This window comes from Homo sapiens, chromosome 20, assembly GCF_000001405.40.
Source record: "Homo sapiens chromosome 20, GRCh38.p14 Primary Assembly".
Taxonomy (NCBI): Eukaryota; Metazoa; Chordata; class Mammalia; order Primates; family Hominidae; genus Homo; species Homo sapiens.
The window spans coordinates 32,822,317-32,848,471 of NC_000020.11; the positions used below are offsets into that span (position 1 = coordinate 32,822,317).

The 26,155-nt window shown below is 43.8% G+C and overlaps 1 protein-coding gene across 2 annotated transcripts in view, besides 2 other annotated features; it reads left to right on the plus strand.

The window, feature by feature from the left end:
- MAPRE1 (microtubule associated protein RP/EB family member 1) overlaps window positions 1-26,155 on the plus strand; it is a 30,629-nt gene that overhangs the window by 2,540 nt on the left and 1,934 nt on the right. For both annotated transcript variants that reach the window (XM_011528696.3, NM_012325.3), the window contains exons 2-6: window positions 3,609-3,732; window positions 11,401-11,546; window positions 14,318-14,525; window positions 17,419-17,540; window positions 24,302-24,454. In XM_011528696.3, the coding sequence (XP_011526998.1) occupies window positions 3,612-3,732; window positions 11,401-11,546; window positions 14,318-14,525; window positions 17,419-17,540; window positions 24,302-24,454 (750 nt within the window). In that variant the 5' untranslated portion in view covers window positions 3,609-3,611. The remainder of the gene's footprint in view (window positions 1-3,608; window positions 3,733-11,400; window positions 11,547-14,317; window positions 14,526-17,418; window positions 17,541-24,301; window positions 24,455-26,155) is intronic.
- Window positions 10,264-10,764: an enhancer, noted in NCBI's record as "H3K27ac hESC enhancer chr20:31420386-31420886 (GRCh37/hg19 assembly coordinates)". NCBI's record gives its function as "activates a minimal SCP1, AML or CMV promoter by ChIP-STARR-seq in naive H9 embryonic stem cells {active_cell/tissue: H9 hESC(naive)}" and the evidence as "EXISTENCE:reporter gene assay evidence [ECO:0000049][PMID:30033119]".
- Window positions 18,713-19,212: an enhancer, noted in NCBI's record as "H3K4me1 hESC enhancer chr20:31428835-31429334 (GRCh37/hg19 assembly coordinates)". NCBI's record gives its function as "activates a minimal SCP1, AML or CMV promoter by ChIP-STARR-seq in primed H9 embryonic stem cells {active_cell/tissue: H9 hESC(primed)}" and the evidence as "EXISTENCE:reporter gene assay evidence [ECO:0000049][PMID:30033119]".

Here is a 26,155-nt window from a genome sequence, read left to right on the forward strand (position 1 = left end):
GTACCTGATTTTGCGCACAGTATTTTGTTCATTCAAGGATTTTAAACAAGGGAGGCACTTGCTGTGATTTGTGATTCAGGAAATTCTCTCTGGTTTGCTGTGTAAGAACAGATTGACACAGACAAATTTGAAGACTGTTGCAGTGCATCTCCGTGCAAGATGGTGCTGGCAGGTCTCAGGCGCACTGTTTTTGGCATTGGAGATAGGAGGATGAGTGAGACAAGGTCCCTACCCTACATCTTGTTTGTTAAATACCTCTTAAATTTGATGCCATGCCAAATATTTTATGTACCTTATCTAATTTAAACCCTTCTATGACCCTTTTCAGATAGGTGGCTTTAACTTGTAAGGGAACTGAGGTACATTGAGTTTAAGTAACTTGCCTAAGATCACACAACTAATGAGTGACTGCCTCACATTCAAACCCATGTCCTCCTGGCTTGAAATCCTCAGCTGTTTGCATCGAGTGGATTGCTTCCTGGCCCAAATCTGGCTCGAGAATGGTTCAGAAATAACGAGATAATGACAATTCATTGTGGGACTTCCTATCATAAAGGTTTGAATGAATTGCTCTGGAAACATAGGGATTAATTTCCCAGTGGAGTCAGTAACTAAATTGTGTTGGTGTCTTGCATAACATGGTTTTATCAGCTGATTTGGGGAGTGTAACAGTGTTGATGATTTGCTTTCTGACAAGTTTATATAGACACATTTTTCTCTCTTTGACGCTGTTCTGCCAACCTGAAAATAAGTAGTGAGTGCTTGCTATGTGCAAGATACTATGAGGTGCCTGGGAGATGTGAGGGCACGCAGACCTGGCAAGTTATTGACCTCTACAGACCTCAGTCACCCCATAAAAAGGGGACTGGATGGGTGGATTTGCCTCTTCTGGCTGTCACATTCTGTGGCTTGGTGAGTCAGGAGGCTTGCAGCAGCTTAGTGCAGGAGACTGATGTGGAAAGACCAACTCTAGTCACTAGGTGGAGGGAACGAAGTACCGTAAGAGAGCAAGGGGCTGGGATCTCAGGATTGTTCCAGATTGCTCTGCATCTTTCCCCTGCCCCTCCCCACTGGTAATGTTGCTGTCTTATGAAATGAAGAAAATTGTTAAGTGTCTAGGTCACTATGAAGTCTCTGGTATTTCATAGTGTGTCCTCATGGTGACTGCTCAGGGATTTGATTTAGATCTGGATTAGCCTGCCTTTATCTTGAGTCTTCCCTCCCTACTGTCTGTTCTCTACTAGTAGTCAATGTGATCTTTTTCAAACTGTAATGAGAGCAAGATTCTACCGCACTTAAAACCTGAAAGTGCCTGGGTGTGGTGGCTCATGCCTGTAATCCCAGCACCTTGGGAGGCTGAGGCGGAGGATTGTTTGAGGCTGGGCCGCAAAATGAGACCTGGTCTCTACAAAAAATTAAAAAATTAGCTGGGCTTGGTGGTGACCATCTGTAGTCCCAGCTACTTGGGAAGATGAGTCAAGAGGATGGCTTGAGCCTGGGAAGTCAGGGCTGCAGTGAGCCGTGATTGTGGCATTGCACTCCAGCCTGGGTGACAGAGTGACACCCTGCCTCAAAAAACAAACCCAACAGTGGATTTCTTAATAGAATAAAATCCTAACTCCTTCTGTTCCCACCTCAGGCTCTGCTCTCCTTGCTCACTGGGCTGGAGAGCCCTATCTCTAGAGCTTCATGTGGTTGCTTCTTTCTCTGATCCTTAAGCTCAACTGTTCATCTCAGAGAGGCTTCCTCTGACCACATTCCGTAAACCCCGTTGCATAAGTGGTTGGTATGAAATGATGTTTGTTGGTGTATTTGGTCAGTGTCAGACTTTGCACCACTAGAATGTGAACTCCCTGTGGACAGGCACCTTGTCTCTTGCTTTTCTGTATCCTGGTCCCTAGAACAGTGCCTAGCACGCGGTAGAGCTAGTAAACATTTGTAGAATGAGTGACGGTTGACTACACTGGTGCTCATAGACAATAACGCCCACATTTACTAGCATTTGAAAATTAGACTCATTGCTGTGTGTTTATTGTTTTGAATTTGAAAGCCTAGCAGAAAAGGGAGGGAAGAGAATGTGGAGGCTGGGGCTGGGCAGGCTTGCCTGCCAACCCCAGGGCCTCTCTTGTCCTCACCTGTAAAATGAGGGACATGAAGTGAACCTTGCAGAGGGCTGTCAGGGTTAAACAACAAGTGTCTGTGAAGTATCTGGCACTTAGGCCCACAGATGCCCTACCATTGCCAGGTAGCTCTGCAGAGAATTAACTACAAGGATTCTTCACCTGTAAGGTCATTTGATACTGCCTTTTTAATATCTAGGTATTGAAAAGCTGATTTACTTTTTCAATTATGAAAGAATTTATAGTTTTTTTTTTTTTTTTGGAAATAGGATCTCACTGCCTCAACCTCTTGGACTCAGGCGCTCCTCCCACGTCAGCCTCCCAAAGTGCTGGTATTACAGGCATGTGCCAGTGTGCCTGGCCTAGGTATAGTCTTTAAGGAAAATTTGGGAAGTAGTGAAAACTATAAATAGGAATTAATAAAAACCCATCGGGCCAGGCGTGGTGGCTCACGCCTGTAATCCCAGCACTTTGGGAGGCCTAGGTGGGTGGATCACCTGAGGTCAGGAGTTCTAGACCAGCCTGGCTAACATGCTGAAATCCTGTCTCTACTAAAAATACAAAAATTAGCCAGGCATGGTGGCATGCGCCTGTAATCCCAGGTACTTGAGAAGCTGAGGCAGGAAAATCACTTGAACCTGGGAGGCGGAGGTTGCAGTGAGTTGAGATCGTGCCATTGCACTCCAGTCTGGGCACCAGAGCAAGACTGTCTCAAAAAAAAAAAAAAAAGAAAGAAACAAACAAACAAAAAACCATTATCTGAAGAAAATTGTAACATTTTGATATCTTTATGGGTAACTTTGGGCTGATGTTTTCTAAACAGAAAGCATTCTCGTTTATGCATCTGCCTCCCATCATAAAAGCACTTACTCATCCCTTTATTTAGTGCCTCTTATAGTTTAGAATTGTATATTAATCACATTAAAATGGGGCCTCAATTTTAGTCTGGCTGGTGTTGGGCAGTTCATTTCAGGTCATGTTTGTATGTGGAAATCCAGATTCTGTGGCTGGAATCTTAGTGTCTCTCGTTTGGCCTCATGGGGAAGAAGGTGAGGCTTAAAAAGTCAATGTACCTAGGCTGGGCGCAGTGGCTCACACCTGTAATCCCAGAACTTTGGGAGGCCAAGGTGAGTGGATCACCTGAGGCCAGTAGTTCAAGACCAGCCTGGCCAACATGGTGAAACCCCATCTCTACTAAAAATACAAAAATTAGCTGGGTGTGGTGGTACACGCCTGTAATCCCAGCTACTCGGGAGGCTGAGGCAGGAGAATTACTTGAACTTGGGAGGTTGCAGTTGAGTCGAGGTCGTGCCACTGCACTCCAGCCTGGGCGACAGAGTGAGACTCTGTCTCAAAATAAAATAAAATAAAATAAAATAAAATTGAGTGTTCCTACAGGTTTGCTTTTGGTGACTCTCTAGGAAACACTTGACCTTACTTGCATGCCTAATGTAACACAGGCCCTTCTCTTTTCTTCCCATGCTTTAGAAGATGGCAGTGAACGTATACTCAACGTCAGTGACCAGTGATAACCTAAGTCGACATGACATGCTGGCCTGGATCAATGAGTCTCTGCAGTTGAATCTGACAAAGATCGAACAGTTGTGCTCAGGTAAGAGAAATCTGCTGGATCATTTTTCTAGGAAAGCCTGTAGGTTTTTCAGGAATGTGAAGGCCTGTATCTGACTGCAAAGCCACACACAGAGGTTCAGGGTCTTTGTTAGGGCCACCCTGTTTCTTCCTCTCAGCCCTGCCTTTGCTTCTGCTTCCAAAGGAACTTTTTTTTTTTTTTTTTTTTTTGACAGAGTCTCGCTCTGTTGCCCAGGCTGGAGTGCAGTGGCGCGATCTCGGCTCACTTCAAGCTCCGCTTCCCGGGTTCACACCATTCTCCTGCCTCAGTCTCCTGAGTAGCTGGGACTACAGGCGCCTGCCACCACGCCTGGCTAATTTTTTTGTATTTTTTTTAGTGGAGATGGGGTTTCACCGTGTTAGCCAGGATGGTCTTGATCTCCTGACCTCATGATCTGCCTGCCTCGGTCTCCCAACGTGCTGAGATTACAGGTGTGAGCCACCACGCCCGGCCTTTTTTTTTTTTTTTTTTTTTTTTTGAGATGGGGTCTGGCGCTATTGCCCAGGCTGGAGTGCAGTGGTGCAGTCTTGGCTCACTGCAACCTTCGCCTCCCGGGTTCAAGCGATTCTCCTACTTTAGCCTCCAAAGTACCTGGGACTACAGGCGTGCATCACCACACCTGGCTAATTTTTTTGTATTTTTAGTGGAGACGGGGTTTCACCATGAGGTCGAACTCGTGACCTCAAATGATCTGCCTGCCTCAGCCTCCCAAAGTGCTGGGATTACAGGCATGAGCCACCATGCCTGGTTGGAACTATACTTAAATAAAGAGTGTGCTCTGGCCTGCAGGTCCACCATCTTCTGCTCTAGAGACTGCATTCTGAGGCCTGAAGCTCAGCCCCGACTTCTTGGTGTCTATTATTGTGCATCCAGATTGCATGTTTTATTTGAGGACAGTAATTGTATTAACTACTGTCTGCTGTTCTAGTTTTATGTTCATCAGTGGCATTTCTTATTCCCAAGAAGTACAAGATCAAAGTCTAGCAAATATCATTTCAGCCACAATTTTATGGAACTACTGTTTAACAATAATTTGGCAAAGATGTAATGATTTAAAGTCTCGGTGTGGTGGCTCACGCCTATAATCCCAGCACTTTGGGAGGCTGAGGCAGGCAGATCACCTGAGGTCAGGAGTTCAAGACCAGCTTGGCCGACATGGTGAAACCCCGTCTCTACTAAAAGTACAAAAAAATTAGCCGGGGGTGGTGGCAGGCGCCTGTAATCCCAGCTGCTCTGGAGGCTGAGGCAGGAGAAACGCTTGAGCCCGGGAGGTGGAGGTTACAGTGAGCCAAGATCGCACCACTGCACTCCAGCCTGGGTGATAAGAGCGAGACTCCGTCTCAAAAAAATGAAAAATAAGTAGTGATTTAAAAGAAGAACAAAAACATGGTCTCTTTCTATGTATGCTAATCGTATGACGTGGGAAACTAGAAAGAAGAAAACAAAAAAATGCCTTATAATTCCACTATTCAAGCCGGCTACTGTTCACTCACTAATCATGAGCCACTGTGCCTGCCCTGGATCGATCTTAAATTACTGCCATTGCTTGGCCGGGTGTGGTGGCTCGTGCCTGTAATCTCAGCACTTTGGGAGGCCGAGGCGGGTGGATCATGAGGTCAGGAGTTTGAGACCAGCCTGGCCAACATAGTGAAGCCCCGTCTCTGCTAAAAATACAAAAAATTAGCCAGGCTTGGTGGCACGCACCTGTAGTCCAGCTACCCGGGAGGCTGAGGCAGGAGAATCGCTTGAACCTGGGAGGTGGAGGTTGCAGTGAGCCGAGATCATGCCACTGCACTCCAGCCTGGGTGACAGAGCGAGGCTCTGTCTCAAAAAAAAAAAAAATTTATTGCCGTTGCTTATAGGATTTTTTCTTTTTTTTTTTTGAGTTCAGCTTCTGCCCTTCCTTATTTTATAGCTGGGTCCTAGTCTCGGTCTTAGTTTCATTGACTTGTCTTGTTATTTCCTTGGTGAGGTGTATTTAATCTTGGTTTTACGGATGGTCAGATGGAGGCTACGTGTGAAGCTGTACAGTAACACAGTGGTGCCCAAGAGTTGTGTTTATTCAGCATTAATTACTTTGCTGATCATAGACAACAGGCTGTTAGCCTTAGATCTGTGCTGTGTCCCCCCCACCATTTTCTATTAGTTTCCTCATTATTCATTTCCCTATCCCCATTTGTGTGAGGCTTTTAAAGCACTTGTTTGACCTGTGTTCTGTGACTAATGTGAGGATGAGGTCATCCTAGTTTTCACTGGAGCCAGCTTTTTACCAGCAATTCCCTCTAAAATTTACCTTTTTCTGTAAATATATTCCAAAGTCTATTTCACTTAGTTAATTGGAAAATGTGATCTTTAATGTTTAGATAAGTTGTATATGTGCTGATCGGGCTCTAGGTTTATCTCATTCAGGCAGAGAGCTGTTGTAGACAGGACTGGGCATAAAGAGGCTTCAGTCTGCTCTGAGCCATGTGACTTTTGACAAGACCCTTAATGTCTTAGTTCTTCATCTGTGAACTGGGGCAGCGATACCTGGCCCACTTGTTGGCCAGTGTGAGAATCACCTATAATAACAGCTTTCAGATAACTGACTGTGTGCCAGACCCTGGAAATGAGTGCAGGTCATTTGATGGGGGCACATCCTCCTTTTACAGATGAGGAGACTAACCCTGGGGCACAGCTTATGTATTACAGAACCTGGTTTTGAACCAGATCTTTCTGAGCACACAGCCCACATGCATCCTGCTGCATACTTGTTATATCTTTTATAGAAACATTTGGAGGGGATTAAACAAATGTAAATTACAAATGTAAATTACATATAGTTAATTATAGTGATACTGTTTCACTATAAAGTCTGTGAGGTTTGTCAGTTGTTTTTTTTTTCTTTTTGAGACTGGAGGCTGGAGTGCAGTGGCGTGATCTCGGCTCACTGCAACCTCCGCCTCCCAGGTTCAAGCGATTCTCCTGCCTCAGACTCCTGAGGAGCTGGGATTACAGGTGCGTGCCACCTGTAATTTTTGTATTTTTACTAGAGACGGGGTTTCACCGTGGTGGTCAGGCTGGTCTTGAACTCCTGACCTTGTGATCCGCCCACCTCGGCCTCCCAAAGTGCTAGGATTACAGGTGTGAGCCACCGCGCCTGGGTGGTATGTCAGTTTTGTCTCATGTCTGCTACTTTTCCCAAATAAAGTGCTTTTTCTCCCTAGAAAAGGGTAAGTGCAGGACACTTAACTGTGATTTGTAAACAAACTTGTTCATTCATAACTAGTCTTCTTGAAAGCCGTATAAGATGTCTCTTGGAGTATGTAGATGGTTGCATTGTGTTTCACATTGGTGTTTAGAAAATGAGGTCTTGCTTCCAGTATGAGAGCAGACAGGATGAGACACAGACATTGTCTCTCTGAAGAAGGCCCGCTGCCAGGGGTTTGGAGTCAGAGAAAGTGAGGCTCCTCAACTCCTTGTGCTTACTGAGGCCCAAGGAGAATTCCAGGAGCTTTTGATGCTGGTGCCAGATCCTTCCTAACCTCATCTCTGATGAGCAGAGGATCTAGCAGACCAGAGTTCTCCACTAAACACAGCTTTACAAAGTAGGAATACATTTCTTCCTTGAGAGGGCAAAGTGCTGAGGTCCTTTGTTAATCTGCCTGCTGCCTGTGAAGTGGCCAAATTTTGTCAGCAGTGGGCTCTCCTACCCCCAACAGTGAGCTGAGCCTTTGCTTGGCTCTGGTAGAGGGAGATTAGGCAAGGATAACTTTCAGTGAAAGATTTGGCAGGTTGTTTCAAGATTCATTAATACATTCTGTAGTCTCCGTAGTTTGGAGAGCTAGTCATCAAGTATTTTGGAAAGATAGTCATCATGAGGAAAAACCTGGTCAAAGAGAATGATTTTTATGAGAGCTTTTTTTTGTCAGAAAGGGAGTACTGGTTGCTTTTGTGAATTGTTCCTGTGTTGCATTCCATATTCAGGCCCCTCTGCATTTTCTCAAGAGCACAGCTTGGTCCTCTGCACATGTAGAGGGGTCTCACTGAATGTATTCGGCTCTCCCCTTCTCCTCCTTGTCTTCTCCCTCCAGCCTGGCTTCCTTTATGGGTTCCTTCGCAGCAAAGGTGTTGATGTTCCCAGGCAAATGGTAGATTCCTTTCTCCTCAGCTTAATGTGGGGCCCCGACAGCCCTTGAGTTCATGTAAGACAGCTTGGCGATCTTGCTTCTGCTGCACTGCTAATGACATGGTCCTCCTGCTCTGGGAGTGTGTTATCACACCTGTAACCAGGCCTCTCCCAGCTCAGATCTGGTCTGATATTTCTGTTTATGGGATACTTTTGCCCTACCTGTCATTACTTAAAATCTCAGCTTTGTTTTCTCCTCAGGCTAGCTCCCTTTTCCAGGTACTCCATTTGGGGCCATGATTCCATCTTTCTTCCAGTGTCCCAGGCCTGAGAAGCATCTTTTGAGGCTAATTCACAGTTTTATTTGTCTTCTGAAAGAGCTTCTAGATCCAGCCCCTTCTCAGATTGCTCACTGCTGCTGCAGTGGCCTCCTGACTGAACACTAAGTTCCCTCTAAGTTCCCAGCCCCCACCTTCCCTTTTGTTATATTGCATAAGTCTGCAGCCTTTCTGAGGGACTGGTTTTATCAAGTCACATTTCTGATCAAGGAAGTATCTCTTCAAACTTTTTTTTTTTTTTTGAGGCGGAGTCTCGCTCTGTTGCCCAGGCTGGAGATCTCCGCTCACTGCAAGCTCCACCTCCCAGGTTCTCACCATTCTCTGCCTCAGCCTCCCAAGTAGCTGGGACTACAGGCGCCCGCCACCACACCCGGCTAATTTTTTTGTATTTTTAGTAGAGACGGGGTTTCACCGTGTTTGCCAGGATGGTCTCGATCTCCTGACCTCGTGATCCGCCTGCGTCGGCCTCCCAAAGTGCTGGGATTACAGGTGTGAGCCACCGCGCCCAGCCTCTTCAAACATTTTTGCCTAAGTCTTCAAGCACCTCCTTGATTTTTCCCTTGCTTTACATAAAGCAAACCAAAACAGAAGATAGGAAGCTCATTTTCTTCTGATTATGAATAGTTAGGTCTTCATTAAAAAAAATTAAAGGCCAGGTGTGGTAGTTCATGCCTGTAATCCAGCACTTTGGGAGGCCGAAGTGAGAGGATCACCTGAGCCCAGGAATTTGAGATCAGCCTGGGCAACATGACAAAACCTTGTCTCTAAAAAAGAAAAAGAAACATGAAGAGAATCATACTCGCATAAAAGTCTATCAGGAGGACTGGATGCCAATATTTATGTAATTGATTCTTTCTCTTTTTAGAAATAGGGAAATAAATAAGAATGTTTCTTTCTTTTTTTTTTATTCCTGTACAATTTTGGTAACCAGTTTCATGCATAAGTTGTTGACTTTTTTTTTTTTTAACTCCTGTGCAATTTTGGTAACCAGTTTCATTCATAAGTCATTGTCTCTTTTTTGTTGTTTTTTTTTTGAGACGGAGTCTTGCTCTGTCTCCCAGGCTGGAGTGCAATGAATGGTGCGATCTCAGCTCACTGCAACCATCGCCTCTCGGGTTAAAGCGATTCTCCTGCCTCGGGTTCCCAAGCAGCTGGGACTACAGGCATACGCCACCACGCCTGGCCAATTTTTTTGTATTTTTAATAGAGACGGGATTTCATCATGTTGGTCAGGCTGGTCTCGATCTCCTGACTTCAGGTGATCTGCCCGCCTTGGCCTTCCAAAGTGTTGGGATTACAGGTGTGAGCCACCGCGCTTGGCCAATTTTTCTTTTTTTTAATTGTGTAAAATAGTACTGGGTAAAATACCACTGTGGATATAGTTGCTGAATAGATTGTCTTCTATTTGGGTTTTTAAAAAAAGTTCGTCCGTTTCAAAAAAAAAAAAAAAAACAAAAGAATGCCCTCAGTGTACTTTTGTTGGATGAGTAAATAAATCAGTCACCTCAGAAATCAAGGCCTTAACCTTCTGAAGATCCTTTCTTAATTAAGAATGTCACCCTGGTCACTGAAGTGCCCCTGCTCTCGTTTATGTTGACTTTCCAAAAATAACGGTAACCGAACATGCTGGAACCAGCAGAGAACTGGTTCGGCCTGACCTCAAGTAAGTTGAATATGCATTTTATGGCAGTCTTGAATTCTGCAGATTACTTATTACTTAACCACTGGTTTAGCTTCCCAAGCTTGTTCCTTTGGCAAATTAGCCCTGGAAGGGCAGTAAAGTACACAGTGAAGCCTGCTGTGAATTAGGAGAGTTCAGTTTGTCGGCATTAGAGAAATAATCTTCCTGGAAAGTTTAAGCAGTAATAAAACACTTTTTGGAAAAAAAAAATGGGCAAGTGGGGGAAGGAATGAAATGGGATGAAATATTGCAATAATTTATTACAGTAGTCTCTTTTTTTTTTTTTTTTTTGAGACGAGGTCTCTCTCTGTCCCCCAGGCTGGAGTGCAGTGATGTGATCATGGCTCACTGCAGTCCTTGACCTCTTGGGCTCAAGTGATCCTCCTTCTTCAGCCTCCTGAGTAACTGGAACCACAAGGGCATGCCAACACGCCAAGCTAATTTTGGTATTTTTTGTAGAGACAGGGTTTCACCATGTTGCCCAGGCTGTTCTCGAACTGCTGGACTCAAGTGATCCACCTGCTTCCCTAAGTGTTGAGATTACAGGCGTGAGCTACGGTGCCTGGCCTTATCATAGTAGTCTTTATTTATTTATTTTTGAGCCAGAGTTTCGCTTTTTTTTTTTTTTTTTTTTTTTTGAGACAGTGCAGTGGCCTGAGAGAATCGCTTGAACTCAGGAAGTAGAGGTTGCGGTGAGCCGAGATCACGCCACTGCACTCCAGCTTGGCAACAGAGCGAGACTCTGTCTCAAAAAAAATAAATAAATAAAAAATTAATAGAGGAACACAAAAATGTCTTCTATTCAACTTTGTTAATTAAATGACGGGTTGGCTGGGTGCTCTACAAAAAGAATAAAAAACTAGTTGGGCGTTGGTGGCACGTGCCTATAGTCCCGCTACTCCAGAGGCTGAGGTGGGAGGATCACTTGAGCCTGGGAGGCAGAAGTTGCAGTGAGCTGAGATTGTGCCACTGCACTCCAGCCTGGGCGACAGTGAGACCCTGTTTCGAAAAGAAAAGAAAAGAAATGATAGGTTAAATGTATTTAGAGATGTAAAAAGCCCAGGGAGACAGACGTCTTAGGGAAAAAAATGTTTTTTAATCTAGATCAAGGATGGATCTTGGAAATTGCCTCCTGAAGAGGAGGGTATATCTTTGTGAAAAATCAGAAAATGTCACTTTTGTTATTTTCTTTTCTGTATTTTAGGCATTCATTTTTGTTTCTAGTGGTCATTTTATTGTCATGATGATTACCAATAAAGAACAGGAGTTTTAAAATTTTGTAGAAACACTCCTTTTCTCCTTGTTATAGGCTTCTGGGTTGCAAGTATGTTGTAGAATATATGGGGTGAAAACCACAGTCTTGTTACAGGTTTTAGAAATTGACTTCACATGAAGTTAGTGAAGCTTTTGGTTTTTGTAGGTCTACTTCACAATTTTAAAAATTGTATTTGGTTTAAGTGGGTCTGGGAAGAAGTTCACCCTGCTTCTTTAATTGTATTTTTCTGTTGCCGTTGTTCTTTCAGGGGCTGCGTATTGTCAGTTTATGGACATGCTGTTCCCTGGCTCCATTGCCTTGAAGAAAGTGAAATTCCAAGCTAAGCTAGAACACGAGTACATCCAGAACTTCAAAATACTACAAGCAGGTTTTAAGAGAATGGGTGTTGACAAAGTAAGTAAACGTTATCTTTTATTGTGGTTAATGTTCCTTAATGATCGTTACTAAGGAGGTAGATGCTAGCTTATGACTTTGGACATTTTCTTTTTTTTCTTAATTTATCTAGTTAACTTTTCTCAGTTAACACAGAATTTACTGGGAGCAGTTTGCCCCTACCTTCTTGCCCCTATTCCCCTTGCTTGTTTCTTTCTTCATCGTCTGTGAAGTTAGTAACTGTTTAGAGGAGTCAGCCTGTAAATTTGTACAGTGATTTTTATTTTTAAAAAATTCCTGTGTAATCTCTAGTAGTCTGGAATCTAACTCTCTTAATCTGGATTTACTTCTGTAAAAGCATACTGTATGTAGAATAGTTCCAGTAGAGAAGATTCTAGGCCAGGCGTGGTGGCTCACACCCGTAATCCCAGCACTTTGGAGGCTGAGGTGGAGAAGATTCTAGAAATACTTGCTTTTTATAGAAGGTTACAAGGAGGCTCCGTGGTGGGTGCTGGAAAACTCCTTTCTGCCCCCAAAGGTTTTTGAAGGTAACAGAAACATGGTCCACCAGGCATGGTTTAGCACAAACATTTAATGTTTAGCACAAATATTACCTCTGTTTTAGTAGATAATAGATTAAGTAGTTTATCCCTTCCCCCACCCTTGTGAAGGGTTTATCCTTTTAAGCCATTTTTGGGGGGATAACTTTTTTTTTTTATGGCAAAGGTAGTAACACCCCCAATTATCTTGCTGGTGTCTGGTTTTTATTTATTTTGAAATCAGGGTTTTTTTTTAATTTTAGTTTTGTCTCTACAATATATAAAATAGGCATTTATAGTATAAGAATATCACTTAACTTTCCAGGCATAGTTTAAATAGAGTTCATATACAGTAATTTTGCATTCATTATTATGGAATTTTATTTTTTGAATATGGAAAATGTCTAAAGTATATAAAAGTAATAATAGTGTATAAACAATAAATAGTAAATAGTGTAATGATCCCTCATGTAACTCAATGGTTAGCATGGCCAATTTTGTTTTATATCTAATTCTATCCTATCCTATGTATTCTGGGTTATTGAAGTGAGTACAGAGGTAATATTTGTGAATGTTTCAGTATCAAGCAAAGTAACTTTTAAAAATTATATTTGTCAGAGGGGTGGATATATTATTGGATATATTCTTTTTATAATACATTGCAACTGGAATCTTTGGAGATTAAAAGATAGTTAAAAGCCAGGCATGGTGGCTCATGCCTGTAGTCCTAGCTACTCTGGAGGTTGAGGCAGGAGCATCATTTGAACTCAGGAGTTTGAGGCAGCAGTGAGCTATGATTGCAGCATAAGACTCCAGCCTGGGCAACAGAGCAAGACCCCATCTCTAAAAAAGATTAAAAAGTTAAGTTGTGGCCAACACTTCAGTGATTTGAATACTTGAAAACACAGTATTCTTGTATAATAGAAATACTTACAGGGTCCTTATGTATATTTGTTATTTTTTGTGTGTGTGTTTTTATTGGTGTTTTTTTTTTTTTTTTGAGATGAGGTCTTGCTGTGTTGCCAGTGCTGGTCTAAATTCCTGGACTCAAGCAGTCCTCAAGATAGCTAGGATTGCAGGTGGGCAGCCCTGCCCCCAGCAAGCATGTTTTAATAGGATTTGGAATTACTTGGAAAACATGTCATTTTGTAAAAATTTATCCTGAGACTGATTCTGCATCTTGATCTATTTTCAGGTTAGAATTATTCTTTTTTCTTTTCTTTTCTTTTCTTTCTTTTTTTTTGAGACAGAGTCTCACTCTGTTGCCCAGGCTGGAGTGCAGTGGTGCAATCTCAGCTCACTGCAACCTCCACCTCCCGGGTTCAAGTGATTCTCGTGCCTCAGCCTCCTGAGTAGCTGGGATTACAGACGCCCGCCACCACACCCGGCTAATTTTTGTATTTTTAGTAGAGACAGGGTTTCACCATATTGGCCAGGCTGGTCTCGAACTCCTGACCTCAAGTGATCTACCTGCCTTGACCTCCCAAAGTGTTGGGATTACAGGTGTGAGCCACCACGCCCGGCCCAGAATTTTCTTGAACACAGTTCATTGTAGATGCCTTTGGTTGGTTTGTGCAATGGATTTTTCTTCCCTTTTCTTAAATGGGGTCTCTCTCTGTCACCCAGGCTGGAGTGCAGTGGCACAGTCTCGACTCACTGCAACCTCTGTCTCCTGGGCTCAAGCAGTCCAATCTCAGCCTCCCAAGGAGCTGGGACCATAGGCGCATGCCACCACACCTGCCTAATTTTTTTGTATTTTTGGTAGAGCCTAGGTGTCACCATGTTGCCCAGGCTGGTCTCAAACTCTTGCCCGCCTTGGCCTCCCAAAGTGCTGGGTTTACAGGCATGAGCCACTGTGCCTGGCCTGTGCAGTGGATTTCATGCTTTGTGATAGGCATTGTGGCCATGCAAGTTATATAGCGGACCTACTCTTTATAGCATAATGCACTTTTGTATCACGTCTTACGATGTGCTTGGATGGATGTGTGTATGTGACTTATATGGTACTTGTTCCTTTTTTGTTTCTGATTCCTTTTCATACATTTGAGAGAGTGGGGAGGGGTTGGGAAGTGTAGGTACTCTTGAAGGCAAACTGCATGAAACTTGCTTTATAAATTTAGGGGCTTAGCCCTAAGGTCTCTAAAATATTTTTTTCTCCTTTTGGCAGAGCTTTATAATGAATTGATGCATGGACTAGTTTGATGCTTGCCAAAAGCCTCTTTTTTGGGGCTAAACAGTTGTTTTTCTCTGCAGATAATTCCTGTGGACAAATTAGTAAAAGGAAAGTTTCAGGACAATTTTGAATTCGTTCAGTGGTTCAAGAAGTTTTTCGATGCAAACTATGATGGAAAAGACTATGACCCTGTGGCTGCCAGACAAGGTCAAGAAACTGCAGTGGCTCCTTCCCTTGTTGCTCCAGCTCTGAATAAACCGAAGAAACCTCTCACTTCTAGCAGTGCAGGTAAAAAAACAACCCCAAAACGTTTCCAAAAAATAGCGTTCCAGATATTCATTCAGCGTTCAACTAGAATTTTTTTCAGTAGCCATAGGCTTAGGGATCTTAAGAAATATAATCCCAGGCATGTGGCCAGAGTATGGATTTTGGCATCAGGCAGATAACGGTGTGTGTCCTTAGGTGTCTGTAGCCCTGTGTAAGCAACTTCAACTCTGCCCCACAGTTTCCTCCTCTATAAAATGGGAATTTTAATACTTGCCCCAGAGGGTTTTTGAAACTTGAACAAGTTACTGTATGCAGTTTTGCCAAAGCTCTAGAAATCCATCAGGCTAGCTCATGTAAGAGAGCATTAGTTTGTTCCAAAACAAGGGCATTTTTACAGAGCCCTAGGATGGGAAGTTATACCAGAGCTGAACTCCTTGAAGGAAGTGTGTAGGTCTCTCAGGGACTGCTCTTGGCTGTCTGTGTTATTCTCTCTGTAGACCAGCTTCCTGTGTATACTCACAGCTTCCCTACCTGCCCTAGAACTTTAGCTGCTAGGTGACTTTGGCTTGCCATGGTGCTAGCAGAGTCAGGGGCGGGGGTAGGGGAGAGGCTGATTTTACATACCTTCTCAAAAGGGTATGGGCTTGGTAGCTTTCCCAAGATGTGTTTACATTAGTATAGAATGTGTATATTTTGGGGCAGGGTAGATACTCTACAGATGCTAATTTCTTCTTTTCCAGAGGATGGCAAGAATATTAGTTAAGGTTTCATAATACCTAGAGAGAGGCTTGTTCATCTGATAGAGAGGGTAGGTTGAGTGCTTTCTAAATAGCTTAATGGAGAGACAATTCGCATGCCATATAATTATATTTTTATATTTAAAGTATAAAGTTAAACGGTTTTTAATATATCCAAAGAATTGTGTAACTATCACCACAATCAATTTTAGAACATTTTCATCACTCTGAAAAGAAACCCTGTGCTGGGCGCAGTGGCTCATGCCTGTAAATCCCAGCGCTTTGGGAGGCTGAGGCAGGCAGATCACTTGAGGTCAGGAGTTTGAGACCAGTCTGGCCAACATGGTGAAAACCCATCTCTACTGAAATACAAAAATTATCTGGGCATGGTGGTGCATGCCTGTAATCCCAGCTACTCAGGAGGCTGAGGCAGGAGAATCGCTTGAACCCAGGAGGTGGAGGTTGCAGTGAGCCAAGATCGCACCACTACACTGCAGCCTGGGTGAGAGAGACAGACGCTGTCTCAAGAAAAAAAATAGAAAGAAACCTTGTACATAGTTAATAGTTGTCACTTCCCACTTTCCCCAGCTTTACCCCCTCCCTCCAGCCCTAAGCAACCACTTATCTGCTTTCTGTCTCTGGATTTGCCAGTTCTAAACTTTTCCTATACATGGAGTCATAGAGTATGTGATCTTTTGTGTCTGGCTTCTTTTGCTCAGCCTGCTGTTTTCAAGGTTCATCCATGCCCTAGCATGTATCAGTCCTTCATTCTTTTTTATTGTGGAATAATATTCCATTGCATGCCTATACCTCATTTGATTCAGCAGTTCATGGTCTTTTGCGTTGTTTCCCACTTTATGGCAGATAGGAATAATGCTGCTGTGAACGTTCATATACGGCTTCTGTGTGGACCTACAAGTTTTGATTTCTCTCAGTTACAGACCCAAGAGTATATACTCTGGGAGCAGAATTGCTAATTGCTGTGCCATGTGTTAACTCTGTATTTAACCTTTTGCAGAACTACCTGTTTTCCAAAGTGCCTCAGCTCTTTACATTCCCATCAGCAGGGTTCCCGTTTCTCTAGATATTGAGTACTTTTTATTCTTTACCTGTTTAGAATGGGAAACTACATAGATAACCCCGTGCATTTCATATTTCAGATGCTGCTACCAGTTGAGTGGAGACGTGCATTAAGCATTTAGTCTTTGGGATAAACGTGCTAGAGAGAGTCATCCAGAGGAAATGCCTATTACTGTGGGTGACAGGCCTTGTGATTATAGTTTGGGGTGTTAGGAAGATGAGATATTTTCAAACCTGGCATGTAATATGCAAACTTTACAAAATAATTGCTAAGTAGGTGAATCATCAGTGATATATATACCTTGAGGTTTAGCCCATTCTTGATTAATTTTACTTGTAGATAGGTTGGCTCCTTTACTCCTTTTTTCTTGTCTTTGTCTGCTTTTGGCTGTAAATACTGAGAGACGTCTATAAATACTAGTCAGTGTGATGCTTTTCTCTCCTCACTCTTCTAAACTCCTTCTAAAAGGTAAGCAGAGATGAAGATTTTAAAGCAATTCATGGGAAGAGCAGGCTCTCCTGCTCTTATGGATTCCCTCCCTCTTCCACTCCAAGGAGTCTGAGGTGAGGAGTTAGGAGGGACCTAACTTTCCAGATGGGGAGCAGTGGGCACCTGGCAACAGCCGAGACTGTGTGCTCATGTCTAGCGTGAAGTTTGCCTTTGCTCTACGAAGCTGGATTTGGTTTGTAGATGTGTTAACTAAATCTTAGCTGTTGTAACCAACATGAAACAACCTGTTTGTGGATTTGGTCAGAGCTGGGTTAAGGTGGATCATCTCTGTGCACCAGAATGACTGTACCCCTTTCAGATGGTAGTCCTGTTCACCGCAGTGGAGAAAAGACCTCACTGAAGGACTTATTCCCAGCATGAAACATCATGACAGAAATTGGTACTTAACTCTGCTGCCAGGATAGAAACCACTCAGTAGGCAAATGTGGGAGCGTTGTCTTGCATGCGGGGGCTCTCTAGCATTGGTTCCCTTCACTGAACACCTGTGCAAGGCAGATGGTCACAGCTTCTCCATGTTGTCTTGTGGATTTTTTGTTTGTTTGGGCTGGAATTACTCCTTTTCAAAAACCTGTGCTCTCTTTTTCAGCTCCCCAGAGGCCCATCTCAACACAGAGAACCGCTGCGGCTCCTAAGGCTGGCCCTGGTGTGGTGCGAAAGAACCCTGGTGTGGGCAACGGAGACGACGAGGCAGCTGAGTTGATGCAGCAGGTGGGCACCCCTGTGTTTAGCACGTGAGTCACCTCGGGGGATAGGATCCTTGCGGTGGCCAGGGTGCCTTATCCGTGTTCTTAAATGAACACCTGCCTTGTTTGCTTGCCAGAGCATGTGACACGTGTGAGCCTCAGGTGCTGTGCGGGGAGCATGAACGTGGAGATGTAAGAGAGAGATCAGGTGTGCCTGGGCTCTCTTAGTGTGGCAGAAGCCTGTGCTCGGAAGCCAGTGCTTAGACTAGAATCCTGTTGAATGTTTCTGGAATGCTGCCAGGGACCTGGGATTTGGAGAATGAAAGATAAAGGAGGTCTCCTTTTTGAATAATTTAATAAAAAGGATTCCGCAGTCTCTCTGCTGAGTCCTAGACTGGGGTCACTGGAGATTGGAATTCAGAGTGGAACTGGTATGAAAAGCCTGTGGCTCTTCTAGTTCTGTTCTTAGTAATTGGGTGATTCGAAATGTCTTCTTCAGGAGTAAATGTCCTTAAGGCACCTGTCAGAGGTCTCTGTGGATCAAAACAAGTTTTAGACTTTTAGACATTTTCCCACTAATCCTTGTAATTGGTTGGTTTGCTTGCTTTCAGATGATTCTTTTTGTTAATTCTATTTTTTAAATTTTGTTTTATTAAAAAAGTTTTTTTAATAAAATAGAGATAGGGTCTCACTATGGTGCCAAGGCTGGTCTCTAACTCCTGAGCTCAAGTGATCCCCCTGCCTGAGCCTCCCAAAGTGCTGGAGTTACAGGTGTGAGTCACCACGCCTGGCTCCATTGAAAAAATCTGGGATGCTCTGTGATTCCAGTGAGTTTGGGATTGCATCCTTTTACTTTTCTAAAAGCCAAGTCCTGAAACTTGAGGGAATTGATTTCTAATGCAGAACCTCTCATGACCCACACTCAGACTTCTAAGAGATCAGGACAGTGAGAACCTGCCCAAAAATCACATTTCACTTTTTTATTTTTTATTTTCTTTTTTTGAGACGGAGTCTTGCTGTGTCGCCCAGGCTGGAGTGCAGTGGCGTGATCTCAGCTCACTGCAACCTCCGCCTCCCAGGTTCAAGGGATTCTTCCGCCTCAGCCTCCCGAGTAGCTGGGACTACAGTCGTGCGCCACCACGCCTGGCTGATTTTTGTATTTTTAGTAGAGACAGGGTTTCACCATATTGGCCAGGCTGGTCTCCAACTCCTGACCTCAGATGATCCACCTGCCTTGGCCTCCCAGTGCTGGGATTACAGGCATGAACCACTGCGCCTGGCCCACATTTCACTTTTTCGTTCTTTCATTTGTGTGTGCCCCGTGGTCTTAGGTGCCTTGGGAGTGTCCAGGTGACTGGGTCACCGTCCTCATCCTTGGAGTGGGTGTGGCTGACTTGAGCACCCGCTGGGGCTGTTACTTTGAAGTACAGAAGCCTCGGAGAACAAGGAGAGACTTCCTGTAACTATTTCAAGACATGGATTTCAAACACAGGAAGCAGTTTCAGAAAGAAATACGAGAGAGTAAAGAGTGGTTAATGTTGAGGCTGGGTAGCAGCGACTTGATCTGTGCTCTCCGAGAGAGCGTGCCAGGTTCTGCAGTGTGGCTGCTCTCTGCTCAGCTCTTTTTTTTTTTTAATTATTATTATTATTATACTTTAAGTTTTAGGGTACATGTGTACAACGTGCAGGTTAGTTACATATGTATACATGTGCCATGCTGGTGCACTGCACCCACTAACTCGTCATCTAGCATTAGGTATATCTCCCAATGCTATCCCTCCCCCCTCCCCCCACCGCACAACAGTCCCCAGAGTGTGATGTTCCCCTTCCTGTGTCCATGTGTTCTCATCCGCTCAGCTCTTATCCTGGGTGATGGAGCCCAGGCTTGGGGTTCCATAGATTGAGGGAGAAGTAGGAGTGTCTCTGTCAGTTAACTTCTATCTGGACAAGTCAGCCTCTCTGAACTTACTGCCTCACGTGTGAAGTGGGGCTGACACTTGCTCACAGCAGTTGAGCAGATTATATGAGCTGAATGTTAAGTGCCTGGAATGGTGTTTGTTGCCAATACCACTGGGATAAATGTCAGTGGATAAAAGACTGTGATGATTATGGTTCTTGTTCATGGTCTTGATAGAGTAGAATAATGTTCTTTAAAAGTTCACAGGAACCAGTTTTTTTTTTTGGCTTGTGTGAAATAATATGCGTAAATGGTCATAACAAAAGTAGCCAACATTTTATTTATTTATTTATTTATTTTTATTTTTATTTTTTTGACACGGAATCTCACTCTGTCGCCCAGGCTGGAGTGCAGTGGCGCGATCTTTGCTCACTGCAAGCTCCGCCTCCTGGGTTCACGCCATTCTCCTGCTTCGGCCTCCCCAGTAGCTGGGACTACAGGCACCCGCCACCACGCCTGGCTAAGTTTTTGTATTTTTAGTAGAGACGAGGTTTCACCGTGTTAGCCAGGATGGTCTCGATCTTCTGGCCTTGTGATCCATCTGCCTCAGCCTCCTAAAGTGCTAGCATTACAGGCGTGAGCCACAGTGCCCAGCCATAGCTAACATTTTAAAAGTGCTTATGTCATGCACAGTGTAAGCACTTAATTTCACTTTCGCAGCAACCCTGTGAGGTTTTACACATAAGGATAATAAGGCTTGGAGAGGTTAAATAACTTGAGCTAGGATTTGAACCCAGGTATACCTGTCTCCAGAACCTAGATCAGTCAGTCCCTGCTGAATGGGGAATTGAGGAAGAGGTTATTTGATTTATCTAAGGTATACAGATGTTTCTTTTCCTTGCACCCACCTTTGGAAACTGTAAGTACTCACCAGATAATGACTCTGGGCAAATTGCTGCTAAGCGTTGATGAGAGTACCAAGGCATGGGAGATCTGTCCTAGACCTAGACAGGTTTGATACACTTGGAGAAGATGGACTTGGTGCCTGCCTGTGTTCAAGTCCCAGATGAGGGTTACGGAAGGCAAGAACCACAACTCTTATGGGGGAGAGTGTGATTGGGGTCTGAGGAGGCTTCCTTCCCTGAGAGGGTGACCAGAATTAGCTGCTTTGGATGGTCGGTGTTGTAGAACTTCAACAGTCGAGGTTGGGAGGGATTGTGGTCTTGAAGAGGCTTATAACTCTGTTGCATGTCCATCGGTGCTGGGGAACATTGAGAGGCTAAGTTTGCAGAGGCTGAAGGTCACTAACCAGGTGCTTTGTTGATCCTGGAAGGCTGGGATCAAATGCTCATACCCAGCTGGTTCAACCCTGACATAGAAGTACTGTGTTTGGCCTGCACAGAGTTTTATTTATTTATTTATTTATTTATTAAATATAAAGGATTTGTCTCCAGGTTGTCAAAGTCCTTCCCTTACCTGTTACCACCTCTCTTGGCTCATTTACATTATCTGGCCCCTCCTGAAAGTTTTTGCATTTGCAGCCCTTTGTAAATATGGAAAATGGAGCCACGTGGGCTTGTCAGGCTGTGGGAAAAACAGTGTATCTGCACACACTACCTTGTGGTATTCGTATCCTTGGGAGATCTGCAAAGATTCTACATTCCTAAGTCGTCCTGGAGAAATTTACTTTTAGTTGATTTTAGTCCAAAGCAGTGCTGTCCAATGAAGGTAGAAGGTGAGTCAGAAGTGTGAGCTACCTGATTTACATGGTCTAGTAGCTACATTAAAAAGAATAAAAAGAAATAGGTAAAATTAATTTTAGCAACACATCATCTAATATGTAAAAAATAATACTCCAGCATATAATCAAATATAAATAATGATCAATGAGCTGTTTTACATTTGAAGACTCTGCTAGGTCTTTGAAATCAGGTGTGTATGTGATACTTGTAGCTCATCTCAGTGGCACTGGCCACGTTTAAGTGTTTATATAGACACATGTGGTTGATGGCTACTGTGGCCAGTGCAGGCCTGAAACACTGACTTGGGGCTTCTTAGGTTATAACTATTGCTTTACCTCAAGATAAGGTTCTAAGAGTGACCTTAATTACTAGCTACAGGTTTTTTTTTTTTTTTTCTTTTGGAGATGGAGTTTTGCTCTGTCACACAGGCTGGAGTGCAGTGGCGTGAGCTCAGCTCACTGCAACCTCTGTCTCTCAGGTTCAAATGATACTCCTGCCCCAGCCTCCCAAGTAGCTAGGATTATAGGTGCCTGCCTCCACGCCCAGCTAATTCTTGTATTTTTAGTAGAGACAGGGTTTCACCATGTTGGCCAGGCCGGTCTCGAACTCCTGACCTCAGGTGATCTGGCCGTCTTGGCCTCCCAAGGTGCTGGGATTACAGATGTGAGCCACTGCACCTGGCCAAGCCACAGATTTTTAATAACCTCATGAATACAGACTTGAAAGGAGTGCCACGTGAAAGCCAGTGTCTTAGTATATATTTTTTTAGTGATTTAGTGTTTGTTATGTGTGTATAGTTATGAGCAATATCATGGACAGATGCAACTTTTGGCCTTTATAGGTGGGACCCAGAAGGCTGGGTATCTGGTTTGGCCTTGATAATTTGTTGGACAGAGAAGGTTTTAAAGGGTTTGAGAGGGTAGCATTAGTGAAACTAGTGAAACTAGGTGGATACCAAGCTAGCATTCCTTTTTTTTTTTTTTTTTTTTTTTTTTTTTTTGTGGCGTGATCTCAGCTCACTGCAACTTCCGCCTCCCGGGTTCAAGTGATTCCCCTGCCTCAACCTCCTGAGTAGGTGGGACTACAGGTGCACACCACCATGCCCAGCTAATTTTTATATTTTTATAGAGACGGGGATTCACCATGTTGGCCAGGATGGTCTTGATCTCTTGACCTCGTGATCCGCCTGCCTTGGCCTCCCAAAGTGCTGGGATTACAGGCGTGAGCCACTGCGCCTGGCCAGCATTCCTTTTCATAAGCTCTTTCGACTTCCTTTCTTCCTTGGTCATTAATGCCACCAGGCATGTGATTAGAAGGCCCCTTCCCTGCCTTTTGGATTGTGGAGCTGTAGCTCTGAGTCTGCTTCCCGCTGGGGCTGGTCGGCTCTTGGCCTGTGTATCCCCTGCTCTTTGGGGCTGTTGGTTTCAGGAAAGGCAGCAAACTGCAGCAAAAGCAGAGGTGGGGACAGTGAGGGAAAATGGATGATTTAGCTTTGCCGGCCACCAGGCAGTAGCTGTACTGTATGTATGTATGTATGTATGTATGTATGTATGTATGTATGTATGAATGAATGAATGAATGATTGAATGAGACAGGGTCTTGCTGTGTCTCCCAGACTAGAGTGTAATGGTCCATTGATAGCTTACTGCAGCCTTGAACTCCTGGGCTCAGACAATGTTCCTGCTTCAGCCTCTTAAGTATCTGGTACTATAGGCATACACCACCCTACCTGGCTAATTTTTAGATTTTTTTGTAGAGACAGGTTTTGCCATGTTGCCCAGGCTGGTCTCAAGTTCCTGGCCTCAAGCGATCCTCTCACCTTGACCTCCCAAAGCTTTGGGATTGCAGATGTGAGCCACGGCAGCTGGCCCCTCTAGTACTTTATTGAAACTTTCAATTATTTTTTATTTCTGCGGCTGGTAAAGGAATAGTGAAAGGCTGTCTAGAACTGTGATTCTGGTTTGGTCTAACAAGACTTTGATGATGAACTTTGAAATTCGTTTTGATAAAATTGTCCTGGTGGTGTCACCTGATCCTCATCTCTGGATGCTTTTTGACTGCAGGTTATAAAGAGGGTCCTTTCTCCTGGGATGAGACTTGATCTCCTCTGTTGTGTTTGGTGTCTTCATCAGGCTGTGGGGAAGCTAGATAAGCTGTTTATTTCTGTTTTTAAATTTTTATTATTTATTTTTTAAAAAGATGGAGCCTTGCTATGTTGTCACAACTGGCTTTTAACTCTTGGGCTCAAGCAATTCTCCCGACTCAGCCTCTAGAGTAGCTGAGACGCGTGCGCCACTCCACCTGACATGCTTCAGTTTTTGTGGCTGTGAGTTCAGAAGGCTGGACTAGATGATTTCTCTGGTCCCTTCTGGCTTGTAGAATTCCCTTCTGCCGAGGTCGTTCTCAGTGGCTGTACCTTTGATTTTGTTGCTTTACTTTCCATGCTGCTCTGTGGCCCTGACCTGTAAATACAGGTTTTTGCAACTTGCATTCATTGACAGTTAAATGGAATTCACTTGTCATAGATGTGAATACAGTACACTGGAATGAAGATGCCCCATGGTTAAAGTACACACAGGACTATGAGTGTTATAACTTTTATTGGTCTTGGCTAGATAGAGTCCTGGCCTAAGGACTGAGACAGATTTCTTCATAGCCTCTTAATGGGAATCAGAGACCCTCAGTGGGGCTCATGGAGGGTCAGAGCACTTTCCATTGGGCTTCCAAAGAGTTCCATTGAGCCCTTTCCAGGGTCCTTTCTATTGACCCCCTCATGCAATCAGACCTGGACTTGATTGTCCAGTCCCTTGGTAAGGACTCAGTTTATGATTGTCAGCTACCTTGCTAGGCTGTAATTGTCTCAGGCTTCCCTAGTTTTTTCTCCTTAATCCTTTTTCAGTCCCTGAGAAGCTTCTACATGTTTCAAGGGGTAGTCTGCTCTTTCTGGGAGCTGTTACCGTCAAGGTTGCTATAAACAAATCCATGTTGTTTATCTGAGGCTGAAGAAAATTGACATTAAACTGATGTGGTTTTTGTCTGTGTTGGGGTTTGATCAAAGACCACATCTCCTTTTGGGTTAGAAGTCTGCCTGATATTTTATTGCCATACTAATGCCAAGCATCTCACCCTTTTTAATGTCTTGTGCAGGTCAACGTATTGAAACTTACTGTTGAAGACTTGGAGAAAGAGAGGGATTTCTACTTCGGAAAGCTACGGAACATTGAATTGATTTGCCAGGAGAACGAGGGGGAAAACGACCCTGTATTGCAGAGGATTGTAGACATTCTGTATGCCACAGATGTATGTGTTTGACATGAGGATATTTTCTTTCCATTTTACATAGAAGGGTTGGTGAACTCTGTGCTGATGCTTGTTGTATTCCAGTGTTGCATTCATCAAAAGACTTCATCTTTAACCCCTCAAAGTCAGCCAGAGGGCATCTCTGCCCAGCTTTAGCTTCTGCCTGAGGTCTGTGAGCTTTTGAAGAAGGAATAGGACAAGGAGGTGGCTGGCTTGCCCAGCATCTGTAGTATGTGGCCACTGATAGGTGATGAGTGCCACAAACTGCTCTTAGCCAGAAGCAACCCATGTCCTCACTCCACCCCACCTCCTATTGCTTGGATCCCTCAGCTTCAGTTGCTGCCTCCATTTTATCAGGGCCCGGGGCATGCCCGGAAAAGCAGGCACATGCTCCCTTTTTCACGGCGTGCCCACATATCACGTCATGTCTGGGTATGCCTTTCTCCTCCCTCCTAGGAGTTTGCCTGGTTCTCACTCCCTCAAAGTACTCTATGATCAAGTTTCTTTGGATCCATGTTTATTGCACAGTCAAATCTGTTGATATTAATCACGACATGTTAGTTGATCAGGGAAGACTCATTTTTTTCTAGATTTAGGATTGTTATCCGGCTGTGTCCACTGTTTAATGGTGATGTTTGTAATTCTGTGTGCCTAGCAAGGTCTGTAGGATCAAACTACAAACTTCTGGTAGTATGTGTAGCACTATGCAAATACAAGGTAGTAATAATGCTGTTACTGTCACTGTCCTTGAGACATATCTTGTGAATTTCAGGGGATTAAGACAGATGACTGAAAAGTTGATAATCTGTTGAATAAATCTTTAATTTAGAGCTTGCTCTGTGCTATGTAATGAAAAAAAGACAACGAAGATATAGGGGGTCCTTGGTTTAGTCTGAGTATTATTTTAGTGGAGCCACATCTTAAGTAAGTTCAGCTATAGAGATTTAGTTAATAGAAATAAGATGGTGGTTGAAAGAGAAGTCTGATTTTACAGCAGAATAGTATAGTAATTTCCTGCTCTGAGTCCATGCCAGAATGCCCTGTAGTGAGAATGAGGTGTGTGGGAGTCATGAATCTGCTTTTTCCTTGTGCACTCAATTTTTCTGCCACTGATGTTGGGTCAGTCTTGCTGTTGTGAATATTTTGGGTAAAGCATGGCTCCTAAGTATAACAAAAGGAAGGCATAAAAGGAAAGCTGGCTGCATAGACAGTTTATTGAGAGAAGATGTTAGAGTACTGAACTTTACAGGGGACTTCAGGAATTTTTGAGGGAAATTTTTTTTTTTTTTTAGTGACGGGGATCTCACTTTATTGCCCAGGCTGGAGTGCCTGGTGGTGCGATCATGGCTCACTGCAGCTTTGACCTCCTGGGTCAAGCAGTCCTGCCTCGACCCCGCTGGGGAGTAGCTGGGACTACAGGCATGTCCCACCAGGCTTGGCTAGTTTTTTTTTTTTTCGAGACATTGTCTCACTGTGTTACCCAGGCTGGTCTTGAACTTCTGGGCTCAAGCCTTGGCCTTCCAAAGTGCTAGGATTACAGGCATGAGCCATCACACCTGGCCTTCTTTCTTCTTTAAAAAACAGTTTTATTGAAGTATAACTGACATAATAAACTGCACATATTTAAAATGTACCTTTGATGACATGGGTGAAATTACCACCATAATGAAGACAATGTAAATATGCATCACTTTCAAAAGT